The sequence below is a fragment of the Homo sapiens genome, chromosome 11 (genome assembly GCF_000001405.40).
Source record: "Homo sapiens chromosome 11, GRCh38.p14 Primary Assembly".
NCBI lineage: Eukaryota > Metazoa > Chordata > Mammalia > Primates > Hominidae > Homo > Homo sapiens.
The window spans coordinates 121,705,751-121,724,407 of record NC_000011.10 but is presented as its reverse complement, the minus strand read 5'-3'; positions in this window follow the sequence as shown (position 1 = coordinate 121,724,407).

Below are 18,657 nucleotides of genomic sequence, written 5' to 3'. Positions count from 1 at the left end.
TCCTGCACGGGGTTTGATACATTTCTTAATTATAAAACAACTTTGTACTCTATTGGCTCGTTCAGATGGGTTAAGAGAACATTAATTACCTCCTCCTGAGACATCAAAGAGTTTTTTTTTTAATCCCCATTTTAGGGATGAATAAAGCAAGATGACGGGAGGAACTAATGTCTATTGAGCACCTACTATGTGTTCAGTGGACTTTGTGGTGATTTACAGACATATAAATAAGCATTTATTATGAGGTAAATTATTACTCCTGTTTTACAAAGGAGGAAAACAAGTTTAGAGAAGCTGGATTATCTGACGTTGTTCACATTGCCAGTACATCGGTTGGTCTGCCTGAAAATCGTGTTTTGTATGTGGTGGCCCCTGAAACTGATGATGTTCTCCCTGACTTTCTAAAATTATTGAGGCCTGGCTTGGTGGCTCATGCCTGTAATCCCAGCACTTTGGAAGGCCAAGGAAGTCAAGGTTACAATGAGCTATAGACCTGCTCCTGCACTCCAGCCTAGGAGACAGAGCGAGATCCTGTCTCTAAAGTGAAAATAAAAATAAAACTGTTATTCATCATGCTTTTTTTGAGCACTTTGTGTATGCCAGACAGTGTGCTAGGGGCACTGAAGAATAAAATGACTGGGTCCCTGTTCCCTGCGGACCAGCCATGAGACAAACATCTCCTCTCTGGCGCTTCTGTAATGGAAAAGCTGTGGGAATGCTGAGCAGGGAGTCAGTTTAGCTCAACCAGCTCAACCCGGAGTGGGCGCGGCCCTCAGAGTTCACACAATCTAAGGTGCGTCTCCCCCGGCTCCAAATCCCCTGGAAATCGTCATCTCTCCATCTCACCCTGGTCTTAGGCATTACACAGGGAAGGAAGTTAAAACATGTCAGGAACGAGCTCCGGCAGAAAAAGAACCCAGGCATTCTTGTGGCCCCCGCTTTGGCATCAGAGAGTCCCAGCCTCCTCCTTCCCTTCGCTTGACTCAGGCAAACCCTCCTCGCGCTCTCTGCAGCATCCCTCCCCCACCTTCAACCAGTCTCGATTCTTTTTCTTTCATTGTAATCTTCCTAAATTGCACATTTCATAAGACCTTCAGGAAAAAAAGTCAGGAAATGAGGTTTAGAGGAAGAGGGAGGCGGAGAGTAGGGGGCCGGGTGGGGAGGGTGGAGGGGGAAGCAAACTCCAGGAGAGCTAGTCTTTCATTATCACGACCTGTTAGGCGCATATCCCATCCCTCTCCCTGTGCCACCCTCTCGCTGGATGCGAGCCATCCTCCGGGCTAATGAGCAGAGCACAGGAGATAACTAATCCTAATGCAATTACCGCTCGGCATTACACTGATAGGTTTGAGGCGCTCCCTGTGTGCCCCGCAGCCTGAGACAGGCTTGTGCAGATGTGCCTTCGTCTCCTGTCGGAGACGTTTTGACAGCTGTATACAGTGCCGGGCCCCCTCCCCCACGACAGCATCCCGGGAGAGTGATCTTTTAACAGCGAGTCCCCATGAAGCCTGTCGGAGGTGAAATGAAATCTTAGCAGCTTGGGGGAAGCCTGGTCGGGCCGTGCGCGTTCAGATGCTATTTCCAGGGCGGTGATGGAAGCGGCGGAGACGCGGGCCCCTTCTCTCCGGCCGCCCCCCACCCCCGCCGCTTCCTGAGAGCCTCACGGAGTGTTTAAACTGCAGTGAAAAATTAGAGTGCGCAGGCCCGGCCCTCTCCTGGCGGAGCTCTGCGCTCCCGTGATAGGGGGATGGTTTGCAGCACACATGTTCCTTTGTTTGGCGGGACCACGTGCTCTGTTTGCACAGCAGCATGTGGTACCACTGGAGGAAATCGAACCAACACTGAAAGTTCAAGGAACAGCCAAGCTCTGCTGGGAAGCGGCTGCGTCAGGGCCGGGATGAAGTGAGGAGGCAGGAGGCCGGCTGGACTCCCTCCGAGAAGCAGGGGGTGGTGGGAGGGTGACGGTGGGGCCAGCGCTATTTGGGATAAAGGGGACTGCAGGTTGCTGGCACCGAGCGCTCACTGGGAGGGTTTTCTGCAGTAACCAGCCAGTCCTGCCTGGGATGGGAAGTGCACTTTGATTATGATTATAACCGCTTGTATTTGAAAGAGCTTTATAGTTGATAAAGGCTTCTAGCAACCTTTTTTCATTTGATCCCTGTAAAATCATGTGATGCTAAAGTAAGTGCCTCTCTTTCTTGAGGTAAAGAAGGAGAGGGGAAGGGCTGGAACCCGTCAACCCTTGGCCGAGTGTCTGACCTTCCAGGAGGCCTAGTGGGGCAGCTCTGACCACGCTGATGACAAAATGCATGAAACAGTAATCGTTTGTCTTCTGCACATTGCGCACTCTCTCTCTCTCTTTCTTTCTCTCTCTCTCTCTCTCTCCCCACCACCACACACACCCCGCCCTCTGTTTAATTACAGAACAGTATATGCTGTGGGTAAAAAAAAATTCAAACAATACAGAAATATGAGATATATACATATATAGTATAAAATGGAAAGTCTCCAAACTCAAATTTCCTAAATAGCCATGGTTAAGAATTTCAGTCATTTCTTTATTTTTCCATGCATATCTGAACATATTTATGCAATTTATCAATATATGCATTTTTATTTAAAAAAATAGGAAATTACTACACATACCATTAATTTTCACCATATATCAAAGATGTCTTTCTGAAACAGAATATATAAATCTGTAGCATTGTTCTTTTTAAGAGCTGCATTATATTTCTTTGTATGGATATACCATTACATTATTGAATAATCAGATAGTTTCCAGTTTTTGTTTATACAACGTCAAACTAAACAGATTTCAACATATGTCGCACACTGTGAAAGTATTATTTTAGGAGGAATTTCTAAAATTGCTCATTCAAAACAGTGTGGAGTTAAAGCGAAGACACATTTTAAATTTCAATAGACATGGCCAAATCATTCAATAAAAATGTGACACTAAATTATAAGACACATAGAGAAGTTAACTGTTAGTGTATGACATTAGTGTATGAAAGTTAACTGTTTCCATACACACCTGACCTGGGTACTGCAAATTCAACAGAATGAAAAACTGATATTTATAAAGAATGAAGCTGAGCATATTTCTTATAAAATTTTTAGTGGCCATTTGTCAATTTGATTCTATAAGTTACCGTGTCTATTTTTTCTATTGGTCTGCTTTTCTTTTCTTATTAATTTGAAGAAATTCCCTTTAATATTTTGCAAGATTTTTTCCAGGTCATTTACAGTTTTTCAATTCTGTTATAGAAATATTCAGTACTTAATACAGTCAGATTTGTCAATCTTTACATTTATGGTTTTTAAGTTTCATGCCATGGTTAGAAAAACTTTCCCAAACTTCCAGAAAATTAAAATATTCTGCTATATTTTCATTTAACATCTTTTTTTTTATCATTTTATTTAGCAGATTTTTATTGAACAAGTAACATAGGCCAGACACTATTTCAGAAATTCGGTATATACACCTAGTCTCTGAATTCATGGAGCTTGTATTCTAGAGTGGGAGATAGGCAATAAACAAATGAATGAATAATTACAAAATTCAAAGCACTATGAAGAATTAATGGAGAATAACAGAGAATACCTACTTAGGGAGAGTGGTCATGGAAGGCAAGATTTAAACTAAGATCTGAGGGATGAGAAATAGTCATGGAGGTGAAGATCAATCCAGGCAGAAGGAACAGCATATGCAAAGGCCCTGAGGAGGGAAATAACTTGGAGTATTTGAGAAGTTGAAGAAGACCAGTGTGACTAGAACCTAGTGAGCAAAGTAGCGAGATAAAGAGCCTTATAGACCAAGATGAGGAAGAAAAGAGTGGGTGTCTTACAGACCCAGGTAAAAACTCAATTTTATTCTAAATGTAGTAGGAAGCCACTGAACAGCTTAAGGGGGGATATTAGTGATCTCGTTTGTGTTTTGAGTTATTTAAAGGAATGTTCTGGCTTCTTTAAGAATGATGTAAGGGGTGTAAGAGATGAAGCAGTTACCAGGAAGGATTCTGGGAAAGAGGACGGTGGCTTCTGAATGGTGGTCATGGGGAGGTCATTGCCATGACTTGCTGATGAAGTGGATGCAGGTGAAGAGGCAGAAGTAGTAATCCCACATAACTGCTGGGTTCTAGTTTGAATAATTGGGTATATGGTGATACCATTCCCTGAGAAACTTAGATTTGAGAATGATGTGGGGATGCGGAAGGGTTTAGAGATCACTTCTAATGTGGTGAGTTTAAGGTAATCATGAGATATCCAAGTCAGTCTATCAAGTAGGTGGTTGACTGCATAAATCTAGTGCTCAGAGGAGAAGACTAGGTAGGCTGTAAAAATTTAGAAATTGCTGGCCACTAGATATTTAAGTCTATGAAGAGAATATACAAGGAAGAGCAAGGCCTGACTACAAGTCCTGGGAAACTTCCTTATTTGCAGTTGAATGGAGGAGGAGAAGCCAGGAAGGAAGAAGGAGTAGGAGCAGTCAATGAGGTAAGGAGGGAAACAAGGAGATACTGACATCTCATAGATTCAGAGGAGGAGAAGTAAATGGCATCAAATGTTGCTGAGAGGATCTATAATATGAGGACTAAAACGAACCCATTAGAGTTGACAACATAGAGCTCACTGATGATATTGACAAGAGCAGTTTTAGTAGAATGAGGAGGTAGATGCTGTCATTGGAGAACCAGGGCAACCTCCCTGAAAGAAGACTAGGAATGTAATAGGGGACGTCTATAGATATAATGGCTTCATCTTGTTTTTCTCAAACTATGTTGTGCATTAGACTCATCTAGTCAAAAATACAGTTGCCCAGGCCCCAACCCCAGAAACTTAGTAGTTCTGGTTCAGTATTTTAAATAAGTACTTCAAGGGACCCAGATGCATAGCAAAGTTTGAGAATCATGGCCTTAACCTGAGGTTAGATTTCTCAGAATGGAATTTCAGATTCCATGCCTTATTGAAAGAGGAAAGATTTGAGGACAAAAGGCCTTTCAGTGACTTTCAGATCACGTCACATAAGCAACTACCTACTCTGATGAAAAAAGTGACTGTACAGCCAAATAATCAGTTGGCCTTACAGTCAAGAGTTTTGACCCGAACATAAATTGGATTCACTAACTATAAGCTGAACTCTTTACTTCCCCTCCCACCTCCCTGTTTGGATACAGCTGCAGGTAGACTAAAATAATAGGGCACAAATGGATTTTTTTTAAAGAAGTTCTCCTGAGAATTCAAAGATATCTCTTCTTCTGTTGTTCTTCCAACTGACTACAAGGTCTAAGACTGAGACCACGTCCGTAAAGGCAAAATAACTTCAGAATTCAGAGTCAACTCCCTTTTATTTAGCATAGACATTCTAGGCAAGCACTTTTATAAATGTTATCTCAATCAATCCTCACATGAACCTTTTGAGGCAATTACTTGTATTTCTATTTGGTGGATGAAAACCTGATTGAAATAAATGGTGCTGAAATCAGTTAATAAAGATGTCTCAAAAATAGCATTCTTTGGCTATATATAGATTTAGTCTGTGTTACTCTGGCTATTGAAAGAAGAGTGGGTGGTTCATTGCCCAAATGATTCTGATATTTGCCTTACCATACCCTCCTGGCCCTGCTGGGTAGACCTGGTTGTTAATAGCCTGGGATCCATTACCAGCTGAATTTTCATGCTTTCCCAATTTGAACATGGAGCCTGGTGTAGTGCAATGCATATGCATGAGGTTTGGGACCAAATAACCAAGGGTTCAAATCCTGGCTCTTCTCCTGAGTAATTTTGTTGCCTTGGACAAGTCATTTAACTTTTTTAAGCTCCATCGTCCTCATGTGTAAATCAAGGAGATCTCATACATATTAAATATATATGTTTTATATACTGTATGCTCTATAATCAATAACTATTATCATTTATACCAAACCCCATTATACCCCTCATTCAAGTCTAAATTCCAACTAAATCTCTCAAAGGCTATCTTGCTGAAATACTCTTTTGGGAGGTACTGCTATTTCTTATTCTTTTCTAACCCCTGAAGGGTGTTATTTCAACCATGTTCTGCCCCTTCCCCAAGCCCAACATAGCTGCCTCTCCATCACAAGATCTTATTTTGGATCCTAAAGAGATGTTGTGTTCAGACCCCTTCTACTCCACTTCTTTCTAAATCTAGTATTTAGGTAGAAGAATCTATCTAATGTAGTATTTACACAGCTACCCAGAAAAATTGAAAAAAGTGAAGGACTTTTCCAAAATTAACTAACTTCATAGCAAATACATCATCAAGTCTCTAGCATGTAAAAATAAAATATTTTCCAAAATTTATCACCTGGCCATGCAAACAATGGTTGGGTACTTCTACAGATAGAGAACTCCTTATCTCCAGAGCAATACAATCATTCCATGGCTCTGATTAGTAGAGGCTTCTTTCTTATGTCCATTAAAATCTAGTTCCTATAGCTTCCATCCTACCCTTAGAGACCTTAAAGAACTTGCCTTTCAAATATTAAACAAAAACCAGCACAGCCTTCTTGAGTTTTCTCTCTCCCAGCTATGTTTTTCCAGATCTTTCAGTTACTTTTTATATAACATGGTTTTTGGTCTCTTCATCATCATGTCCACTCTCCCCAAATACATCATCTATCTCTTTCCCTCTTAAATTGGGCTACCCAAAACTAAATGCAAAGATGAGGTTTAACCAGCACAGGCAGCATGCTTATCCCCAATTCTGTTCTAACGCTATGTTTCTCTTACCCAAGTGAACATGGTATACATTTAGGTACACCTGCCAGATTTCGAAGGTGGAAGTGAGTTTCCCTGAATTCTGCCACTGCCACCAACAAGTACAGCTGTGAATACTTTGGGATTTTCTGCAGCAGCACTTGGTATTGCCTAATCACTAGCTTTGTGGGTGATTAAAGACAGTTGCAAAGACATCAGAAGTAGCTTTTGGGTTCCTACTGTGAAGTTGGTAATTCCAGTAGTAGCTTACTGATTCCTCTTCTTCCTGACTGTGGCAGAAGTAGAAACTTTCCTGGCAGACTAAATCCATGGTGTTCCTCTAAGACTCATTCCTGGAGGCTCCACCTAGAGTCTGCTCCTCCAGCACATCCGACAATGTTGTAAGTGCAGATGGTCCCCAACTTAAGATGGTTCAACGTCAGGATCGTGCGAAAGTGATACACGTTCAGTATCCTCCTCTACTTACGATGGGTTTATCATAAGTTGAGGAGCATCTGTACTTAATTCCTTGTATTGAATCCCTTGCTGCTTAAAATGGATAGAGTACTCTCTGTTTCCTGCAACTGTATGGTGAACATTTTGAACAATGAGTAGGATTTCACAAGACAGAAAAGATTATAGCAATTAAAAGATATTGCTTTATATTCACAAATATGTAATATCCATGGGGCTGGAGAATGGATGGACAGATGTATTAAATTTGTGGATGGATGGATGGGCATGGGAAACACTGCCTTCCTGTCTCTATATGCTTATCCCATAAAGTCACAGGTTGGCAATACTGGCTGGCATCTATATTACTGATCAAAATATGTAGTTTGGCTACAGTGATAAATATTCCCATATTGATCAGGACTCTGGGTTACCAGGCACAGAAACACACCTTAAAATGATTCAGGCAAAAGAGAGGTATTAGTAATAGCCCAACAACTGAAAAGGCAGGTGTGGATATGACTTTAGGAACCACTAAGCCAAGGATCAAAGGCTCTAAGGAATCTCTCTCTTCATCTGTCATCTCTACTTCTCTCCAAATACTAGATATCGTCTCCCAAACCATCTTACCTAACAGAATGGGGCATGACTGTCAGCTACTCCAGATTTAGATCCCAAATGCTCCAGAACCAGAGATGAAAATAAAGGCTCTCTTCTCCCAACTGAAATTTGAAAAACCCAAGAGAAAAACTCAGATCACCCTGGTTTGGACCCTATGCTCATCCTTGGTCCATTGCTGTGGCCTGGAAGTGAGGCACTAAGATTGGCCCAGCCTGGACCACATAATCATTCCTGTAGCCAGGGGAGCCACATCAATTGGCAGAAGAATAGGCATGGGGCAGACATAGCAATGCTCGCCCCCTAGGCCTGACATGATCTGAATGACTCACCAATTGCAGCTGTTACTCTTTTAGATGTTAACTCTTCTCAGAGGATTTAAAACCGCTGACAATACTGGTACACTGAGAAGCTGGTTTCAGTGTTACTACTTTGACGCACATGTTTCTTAAATATTTCATCCATGGAGGACTTGGGCAATAAAGCACTTATTTCAAGGTCAGCTATTTGACCGCATCAAAGGTTTGGAATCCAGAAATAAAAAATAGCCTTTGAATAGGTGGATGTTTTAAAAACTTAGTTATAGGTATGACGAAAATGTTTTAGAAATCATTGTGATGGTTACACAACATTGTAAATGTACTAAAAGCCACAGAATTTTACACTTAGAAATGGCTAAAATGGTAAATTTTTAATACATATTTCAACACCGTAAACAATAAAAATAAAGCTATGAATCTAATTCATTGATCTACTCATGCATTCCTTAATTTACCATTTATTTTACTTTAGTCTCAGAGGAAAATCTGGACTGTATGGACATATTTATGGAATAATGGGATCTAACATGCTAGAATTGAAATGATTCTCAATGCACTAAGCTCTCCAAGTGGAAATCCATGATGCCAGAGAATTCTTGGGCTGAAAGTGTTAGCACAGATCATCTAGCTAATCCCCCACTTGTCACTAAAGAGCATTTCACTCCATCCATCCAAGACACCTAATTCATCCTAGACACAGTTGCTTGAACCGGTTAGAAACACCACTGACAGCAATTGCCCTCCCTTGGCGTCATAAGCAAAACTTAGATGTTGCTTTCCAGACTGGAAAGAAATTCTCATATGAAGAATGTTAGTACCGTGCCCCCACCCCTGCCACATCATAGCAAGCCAATGGACATTTACCACCCCACTCCCCCGACTAACAGAAACCTCATTGGAAGAAAAGTGAAGGCTTTCCATTCTCTGCTACAACCTTAAGAACCTGAGACTGTTCTGCAAGAGGAACAAGAAGACATAATGTTTTTTCTTCCTTAAATAACAGACAACACCAAGCTCAGAGAAGGCTAAGCTGTACAGGTGGAGATTGTCTACGACCATTTGAGGTTTTAGACACTGAGAGATTAAAAGTCAACACCATGCTTCTTTTTCTGTCAGTCCTGACTATTGGGCTTCAGAGTAACTATTTATTTCTTCAATGAGAGGCCCTTATGGAGAAGCCACATTTGCAGAAAGAATTTATGACATTTCTGTACCATTGGGTTAAATCAGAGAGATGTTCTCTAGTTAACTGACCGAAGCCTGCCATCTCATGTCATTTTCACTTTTAGATTTCCTGGAACCTCTTTCTTTCATTAAAAAAAGAACAAATTCCTATAGTTTATTGTTTATATACATTATGGAAAAATCAGAAAGTAACAGGGAAAAAACGGGGGAAAAAAGTAAAACTTCTGTCATATATTCCCTTAACAGATATTTATTGAGGGCCCACTACATGTCAGGGTGATGCTGCAGTTGTCTATTGCTGTGTAACAAACTACCTACAAGCAAAGTGGCTGAAACAAGTATTTTATTGTGCCCACAATTTTGAGTGTCAAGAATCTGGGGATGGCTCACCTGGATTCATTTGGCATCTGATGAACTAATGGCTGGAGAATTCTTTCAAGATGGCATCTTCACTCACGTGTCTAGAACCTTGGTGCTCCTTGACCATGTCTCTCTTTCTCTCTCTCTCTCTCGCTCACTCGCTCTCTCTCTCTCTCTCTTCCCTCTCTCTACCTGCTGTCTCATTGTCCAGGGCTTCTCCACTTAGCTTGGATTCCTCACAGAATGGCTGTCTCACAGTAGTCATATTCCTTACATGATGACTAATTCCCCATACACATGTTCCAAGAAGCCCAAGTGCAAGTCCTTGAGCATCACTTCCACCACATTCTATAGGTCAAACTGAGCCATGAAAGCCAGCCCAGATTCAAGCCCAAGTGCAAGTCCTTGAGCATCACTTCCGCCACATTCTATAGGTCAAACTGAGCCACGAAAGCCAGCCCAGATTCCAGGTGAGGGAAGGAATAGACCCCACCTCTCCATGGGCATGTGGCGTGCAGATACAGCGAGGAAAAGACTCCATGGTGTCCAACTTGGGAAGAAGCTGCCACATACAGTGCCATCAGAATCTGGAAACGGTCTCTGTTCTCTCTCTCTCTCTCTGTTTTTTAGAAATGGAGACTCACTATGTTGCCTAGGCAGGTATCAAACTCCTGGGCTCAAGCAGTGCTCCCATCTTGGCCTCCCAATGTGCTGGGATTATAGGCATGAGCCACTGCGCCCACCCTCACAGAAAGAATAGGTGATGCAAGCAAGTAAACAGGTAATTACAATGATGGAAGATGTATGCTGTGGAACAGGAGTACATTAAGAACTCAACCCAGGCTTTGGAGGTCCAGAAAGGGGTTCGGAAATACTTTACGTGAGTGAGACTTGGGCTAAGCTTGGGTTGGTTGCAGGAAAGAGAAAATGGAAGAGATGGTGTTCTAAAAATGGAAACAATATGCTGGATAGCCCAGCAGAAAGAAAGAGTATTTGCATCTCAAAAACTGAAATAATTTCGTTATCTCAATAGTGGAGTGAAAAGGTGTGGACGTTGAAAGATGAAGTAAAGGGAAAAGAAGGGACCAGAGCATAAATCACCGTTCTTTCACATGTGAAGGTAGACATGCATTAAAAGATGCTTTTTTACAAAAATGGGTCCGTGCCATTCATAAGGTTTTGTGATCTACATGTTATCACTTAATGTTAACGTCTTTTTCTTTCAATGAATACACTTCTAAAATAGCACTTTTAAAAATAAACAGTATTTATTTATTGGTTCCATGTTACTTTATTTATTGAATCTGTGAAATATTTAGAGTGTTTCTCATTTCTTTTTACATTTATCTTTATAGCTAAGTCTTAACAGTTTTCAGTGATAACTTCCTAGGTACAGTTTTTGGTTCAACGTGTATAAATAGGTTTCTTTTGTTGCTGTTTTTTGTTTTTTTGTTTGTTTGTTTGTTTGTTTGTTTGGTTGGTTGGTTGGTTGGTTGGTTGGTTTTGAGATGGAGTCTCACTCTGTCGCCAGGCTTCAGTGCAGCGGCTTGATCTCAGCTTACTGCAACCTCTGCCTCCTGGGTTCAAGTGATTCTCCTGCCTCAGCCCCCGGACTAGCTGGGATTACAGGTGTGTGCCACCATGCCTGGCTAAGTTTTGTATTTTCAGTAGAGACGGGGTTTTACCATGCTGCCCAGGCTGGTCTCGAACTCCTGACCTCAGGCGATCCGCCCACCTAGGTCTCCCAAAGTGCTGGGATTACAGGCGTGAGCCACCACACCCGGCCATAAATAGTTTTTTAAGGTTTTTGGTACATAGCATCAACTCATTCTCCAGAAATTGTTATGAATATGTAGTCCCACCAGAAATTCAGGAGCATACATGCTTCCTACATACTTTCCACCAGGAAGAAAAACCATTTGGTTTCTATGTTTGCCAATTTGACAAGTTTCCATTTACATTTCTGCCATTACCTTGGAAACTTAACTTTTGTATTCTGGTAGTTCTTTTTTTATGTAAGCTTCTTAAGATAATAAATATCAAAAACAGTTAAGTGGCTAGACTTCAAACTTTAAAATTCTATAAAAATGTAATATCCAGCAAAATTTAATCCATGAGAAAATTGAAACTGTGGTTTGACAATACCTCTGTCTCCCTTTGTTTCCTCTTAAATGCTTGCCTTTGAACTATTCTGAAATAGTCACAGTGGCTTGGTATAGAAAGAAGAGGAAGTCAAAGGACTGTGGCTGTATCAGAGATCCAGACTGAGTTCAATTCCAGTTAAATAGGTGAAATGGGGTGAGTGGGGACCTTATTTCATTCATGATAGCTCATTGGCTCCCTCCTTTAATGCACTTAATGATCCTGTGGGCTTAATGACTGTTGCAATTAAAGTCACCCTACTTAAGCATTGTGAATTACATTATGCTTGTTAGTGGCTGCCTTTGATAAAACATAATAGCAAGTCTTCCCTTTAACATCATAACTCATTTTAAATATTGCTTTTCCGTATCTGTCTTCCCCAGTTGATTTATTACCTGGTACTCCTAAGAAGTGTAATAAAAAGAAAGTTAGGACTTGAGTAATTCTTTCAGTGTCTAGAGAAGCAGGCAGCCTGGGGGAGATGGCCTTCTCATTGGCCAGCCTAAAAATGGTGATGGAGAAGAGAGTGACTCATCTCATTTAATCAGGAATGACATTAGACACATACAAAAGGAAAATATTAACATTCCCTGGCCTCTTTGCTGTCCCTTTCTTTAGATAGGCAATCAACAAAGGCTGGGCCTCTACCAGGAGAATTTGAGATATTTACCTATCTAGATAAACCCAGGGAATGGATTTGAGGGCCAGGACTTGGGTAGGGGGTAGTTAGTGTTGCATGCCTGCTCTTGTCTACTTAACTTTACCAATGAAAGTTTCAACATAGAGATTCACCATCAAAACTGAGCAACAAGCCGGTGAAACTGATCAATAAAAAACGGGCGGGGGGGCGGGGGGAACAACCAAGATCCTCATGTTGATTTTTTGTTAAGTTCCCTACACGCTCATCCCCACATCATAGGAATCATTGTTTCATTCTCTTCCTCACTTTGTTCTTGCAAATCAAATCCCAGTCTTTTGGCCATTGAGTCCAAATATTTGCTAGAGATAAGCCCACCAAGGCCTAATGTTGTTTTGACGTGAATTCATACCTCTTTCATCCAAAAACCTTCATCCTTACTCATAACATTCACTCAGGATGCATTTGGAGTTGGGAAGGTATTCATTGTAATAGGTATAACAAAGCTAATGATTTACAGTAATTCCACTCTGATGAGTCTCAAGTGACATCATACAGAATTATAGGTGGAAAATATCTCTTATACACCATCAAGTTCTTGGATACCAGTGGAGGAATTTCCTCCATGTATTGTTTTAGTGTTTCTGTAGTCAGCTGCCACTGACTCCACCATGATGTTTCCATAAATAACAGAATAAAGCGTATTCCATTTTATATACACCAACTAAAGATTTTGGGGTAGCAGATAAAAAGAAGAGTTCACAAATTCTTGCACAATATCATCTTCTAATAAAATAACTTTTTGAGAAGAGAGTGATTAAGTAGAAAATGCACTGCAGCAGGAACACAGAGCCCTGTGTATCAGACTTCTTTCTGGTACCGCTCTGCTGTCTTCCCTTAGATCAACAGTTTTAACTACAACAGACCTCAGTTTCCTCATCTATGCAAAGAAGGGTTAGACTATACTATCTCTAAATCCCTTCAAGCTCATAATGACTATGATTCCACATTGCTATTCTGATCACTTCTAATGTGTTTGTGTTATAAATTTAGTAATTTTCCCTTTCAAGGCATTTTTCCATGAAGATATGCATTCTGAAAGCATTTGTCCCATCTTATTTGGAAAAAATAAAACAATGATGTAAAAGTTTTAGAAGCAAGTCAAATATAATTATATATGTGTAATATTGTTATACATTACTACATAATTATATATTCTATTAAAAGCATTTTACATATTAGTTTTATATATTTATATATAATCTATAATATAATAATATTTATATAGAAATATGTTAATTAATATTTGACTTGCTTCTAAGAGCTTTTACATCATTTTATATATATAAAGTATCTATACATACCTTTTTGGTGTTGAACTTTTAATTTACTTCCAGAAAAAAATTAACAATATTTAGTAACACAATTAACTGGATTCTCATCTTCCATTTTTAATGTATGCTTGAATTAATTCTTCAATTTTAATATAATTCCTTACATTACTATGGTCTACTATTTTCTTCCTAATTTGCTAGAGTATACTTATCGTAGACAAGTCTGTTGCCTACATTTTGTTTCCTTGGAAATAACAACAAAAACAACAACAGTAGCTCACACTTGTGTACCACTTATAGCCATTTATTAAAGTTTTTTGGATAAAAGGGGTATGAATTCACACGTTATTTAAAATTAATGCCATACTCATCAGGATTATATTAATAGCACTAGATCATCAGTTGAGAAGATATCATCTATAATTTCACCAAAAATTTATCTAAAAATAAATTAACATTAAATATCATTTATTAAAATGAGATTATCCAAGAGTACCCTCTTTAAAAAACAAATAAACTCAGCAAAGCAGTTTAAGTAATAAAATATAGAATGAGTACAGTGAAATTGGCACTCATCCATTAATGAAAATATATATAATTGGTATAATATTTCTGGAAATAGATTTGGAAAAATGTACCTATAAGCTTAAGAATATTCATACCTTAGTGATTCCTCTTCTATTACTATATATCCAGAAAAAAATCTGAAACACAAAGTCTTCTCTTAATAAAAATACTCATGTACAAATAATTTATAATAAAGGAAAATTGGGTCCAGTCTAAATGACCAGTACAAGGTAATGGTGTAGTAAATTAGGGTCTATCCATATGATGGAACAGTATGTAGTTAACTAAAAAAATTTTTTTTCACAATTTTTAATGACATGGAAAATGTCTTTGATGTTCTATTAAGTGAAAAATGTCATTAAGTTACATGTTAAAATTTAATCTTGAAAATTGCATACCCCATAAAAATAGAACAAAATACTTCAATATTGTATTATTATTATTTTCTTCTTTAAACTTTTTGTAGTTTCCAAGTTTTCCAAATTGAGCATCTGCTACTTTTAAAATCAGGGGAAAAAAATCCATAGAAATAAAAAATTAATATGAAAAGACTTCTTGTATTTTGAGATCTGGAGTTGCCAGAATACGCAGAGGAAGGAAATGTTTTGGTGGATTTACTGTTGTGACAAGAAAGATTAATTAGCAATCCCTTTCTAAAGCTCTTTGCTGAAAATCAAGCAATCAGCCAATAAGTGTTTTCTGAGGATCTATAAGATACTTTAATTCAGGGCTCTGCCAGCTGTTGTCATCCAGACCAGACCAGACACCTTGCAGGGGTTCCAAATAACTACCATTTCGGGAGCACAAACAGGTGTCAGGCAGACCCTGTGCCAGGCAGTGGGGATACCAAGTTAAATAAGACCGTGTCCCCTGTGCTGTCCCAGCCCTAACTGAAGATTAGATCTATAGCAATTAACCCAGAAATACAGAAGCAAATGTCAGACTAACAAAAGCAATAACGTTTTGCGGAATAATTGTGGAAAGAAAATTTCACCTGGAGAGCTCAAAAAAAGTCTTTACAGAAGGACAAAAGAAAAGTGAGCCTTGCAGAATGGACGGGATTACAATAGAAAGTAAGATGATACCCTCCTGCCCCCTCATCCAAGCCAGGCCAAAGAACAAGATGGACCAAAGGCCAGAGGTAGGGAGGAAGCCAGGTCAAGAAGGGATCTTCCTGGTAAGAGCAAGGGTGCTCTTTGGAGTGGTGGGCATGTTTTCCCGAGGGCATTAATTCACTTTCTAAATCAGTACATGATGGGCCTAAGTCTTTGCTCAATTACTGCAGACATTTTTGTGCCTTAATAATCCATTGAAACATTAAATACTACAATATACGTCCATAAATGCACATGCCAAAGGCATAAGATATTGTTCTAAATAATAACTGTAATCCCTCACCTTTGTATAGCACCTTTCCATTTACAAAGCTTTTTCTCTGTGGTTTATCTCATCTGCTCTTCACAGGCACCCTATGAGATGAGTCTTATTATCAGCATTTTACCAATAAGGACAAACACTCAAAGAGATCTGATGAATTATCCCCAGTTACACCACTAGTAAGTGACAGTTGGGTTTCAAACCTTCTAACTCCATTGCATTTTTTCCTTCACCACAGCTGCCTGTGACCTGGGGACACACCCTGGAAGTCCAATTCTATTTTACCTCATTCTCAATTTCATTTTAATCACTGTCATCTTCTTCTTTCTTCTTGGATTACAGAGAACAGAGGATTCTGTTTAGATTGGATTTAGAGTCATCAAAGCCATTCTCTACTTTGAAAGTGCTTTCACACCTCATTCATCCTTACAACTTTTCAGGTAATTCAGACAAACTGAAAACTTTACTTTAGTCTAAGTACACTGAGGACAGAACAGGAGCCAAGGCAGTAGAAGCAGGCAGAGAGAGGAGATGGAGTCAGGAAGAAGCAGCTAATTTACTGAGCCTTTTGACTCAGTTTGTGCTGCACAGACTTGGATAAAAAAGGGCCCTACACATGCTGAGGATGTTAACAAGTACTCAGTACTTTTGTCCTTCCAGGTTGACAGACTCCTGGAAATATAAAAGGTATAAAATCCCTCTTTAGGAATTACATTTTTGTTGCACCACTTTTACTACCAAAGCCTTTTTCAACATTTGGTTCCATAAGTAAAACAGTTCTGTCATATGGTTTCAAGTAATCTTCACACTTCTAAAATTGAATATGGCTGCCAACTAATATCGCAAGAACTAAATAGATGACATCTGGAAAGAAGAATTTTAAAACCCACAGTTTCATTACCCCCACCTGTGTCTTTATAGGCAGTGTGAAAGGGAGAGGTGAAGCAGCAAAGGGAGTCTCTGAAGCACTTTGAAAAAAGATAGGAGGGAGAAGCTGATGTGAAAAGTCTGATTTATCATCTGCATTGTCCTGATTCACCAAATGCATCTCAAACAGGGTGAATAAGAAGGTTGCATATGAAACCAATGCTTTTAGGATATCTTTACAACCAATCATCTCCCCAAAACACAAATGCTATTGCTTAAATTATCATGCTGGCCGTGGAACTGAGCTAGGAATAAATGTACAAATGAATCAATGACACTTATTGAGCACCTCCAATGTCCCCAGTCCGTGGAAAACATGGTACAGTGTAACTTTAAGCAAATCATTAAATACTTCTTACTCCCAATTTGGATACTAATAATACTGGCTCTTCCAACCTGACAGAATTATTGTGAAGCTTGAATATGGTAATGTATGTGGAAGGGATTTATAAGCTCTAAATGCCAGAGAAATGTAAAGTGTCATTATTATACAATGAAGCATTGCATCTGACCCATGCTCATAAAGGAGCTTGCAACCTATTTAGAGGAATAAAGCATAAACACATCAAATTCCAGTAACAGCATAATGATTAAATTATAGAAATGATAACACTACAAGTCGTTTGGCAAGATAATATGGAGCTATTTGCAAGTGAGAGGTACAGACAATGAGATTTATGACTTTAAAATGGATAACAATCTCAGCCAGCTGGAGTGATGTGGACAGAAGAGACTCTGGGTCTAGTCTTAGATGGTGAGTAGAATGAGCATGAAGAAGCAGATAAAAGCCTTGCAGCAGACCCAAGCTCCTACCTAGATCCAAGTGAAGGCATGATGAGGTGGGATTAGCAAATCACCCTTTCATGTGGTCTACTGTCTGGGGCCAGCTGAGGTCAGATGTTGCTACATCAGGACACGGGGTAGATTTGGAAAGAAGTCCATGAATACTACTGTCTCATAGAGATTCAATCTGGAGTCTGTTGGCCACCCATAATCAAGAACCACCAGGATCCTCATGCACTTCTTTGCCACGTCATTCTCATTCACATTTGCCTCATCCAATAAACTGCAAGATGTCTTACAAGAAGAGAATATATTTGCCAAGCATGGTATTCCCTACTTGGGGCAATCGTATGTTACGCTGTAGATGGTAAACTAAATTCCAAGTGGGAAACATGGGAGCAGAGATAAAGAGGGCAAAAACACAAGATGTGACTCATTTTAAAACCATTCACAGGCTGGGCACAGTGGCTTACGCCTCTAATCTCAGCAGTTTGGGAGGCCGAGGTAGGTTGATCACCTGAGGTCAGGAGTTCAAGACCAGCCTGCCCAACATGGTGAAACCTCATCTCTACTAAAAATACAAAAAATTAGCTGGGCATGGTGGTAGGTGCCTGTAATCCCAGCTACTCAAGAGGCTGAAGCAGAAGAATCACTTGAACCTGGGAGGCAGAGGCTGCAGTGAGCCGAGATCGTTCCATTGCATTCTAGCCTGGGCAACAAGAGCAAGACTGCATCTCAAAAAGGAAAACAAAAAATTCACTTAGCTACACCTATGTCAGAAAACTCTATTTATGAGGATGTGCTGGATCCCAGGCAAAAGTGGCATGAGGGGATTATGAGGCGTATTTGAGTTGGTTAGAGCAAGGTGGTAGCATGACCAAATTCAGAACTTCAATCTTCTGTTCATTCATCCACAGACGAAAAAGCAGTTAACTATCACAATTTGCTGGATGAAGGAAGCTATACAATCCCATCCAATCATCCCACTTGTACACAGTGTGGGTCAGAGGGTCATGTCATTCAGAACAAGGAGCAGATGGCTCAGTCCAAACACTACAATGCGTAACATGCTTGGAGAGCATGTCAGAGCCCATAGCACTATTCAGTCCCTTTCCCTCTCCCAAATGTGGTTCACCATTGGCCCGCCATTGCCTCGCACTGTGTCAGAGACATGTCCCATCTGCATCTTTGCTCAAGCTCTCTCTCTTGCCCCTTTGGCTTTCCATTTCTC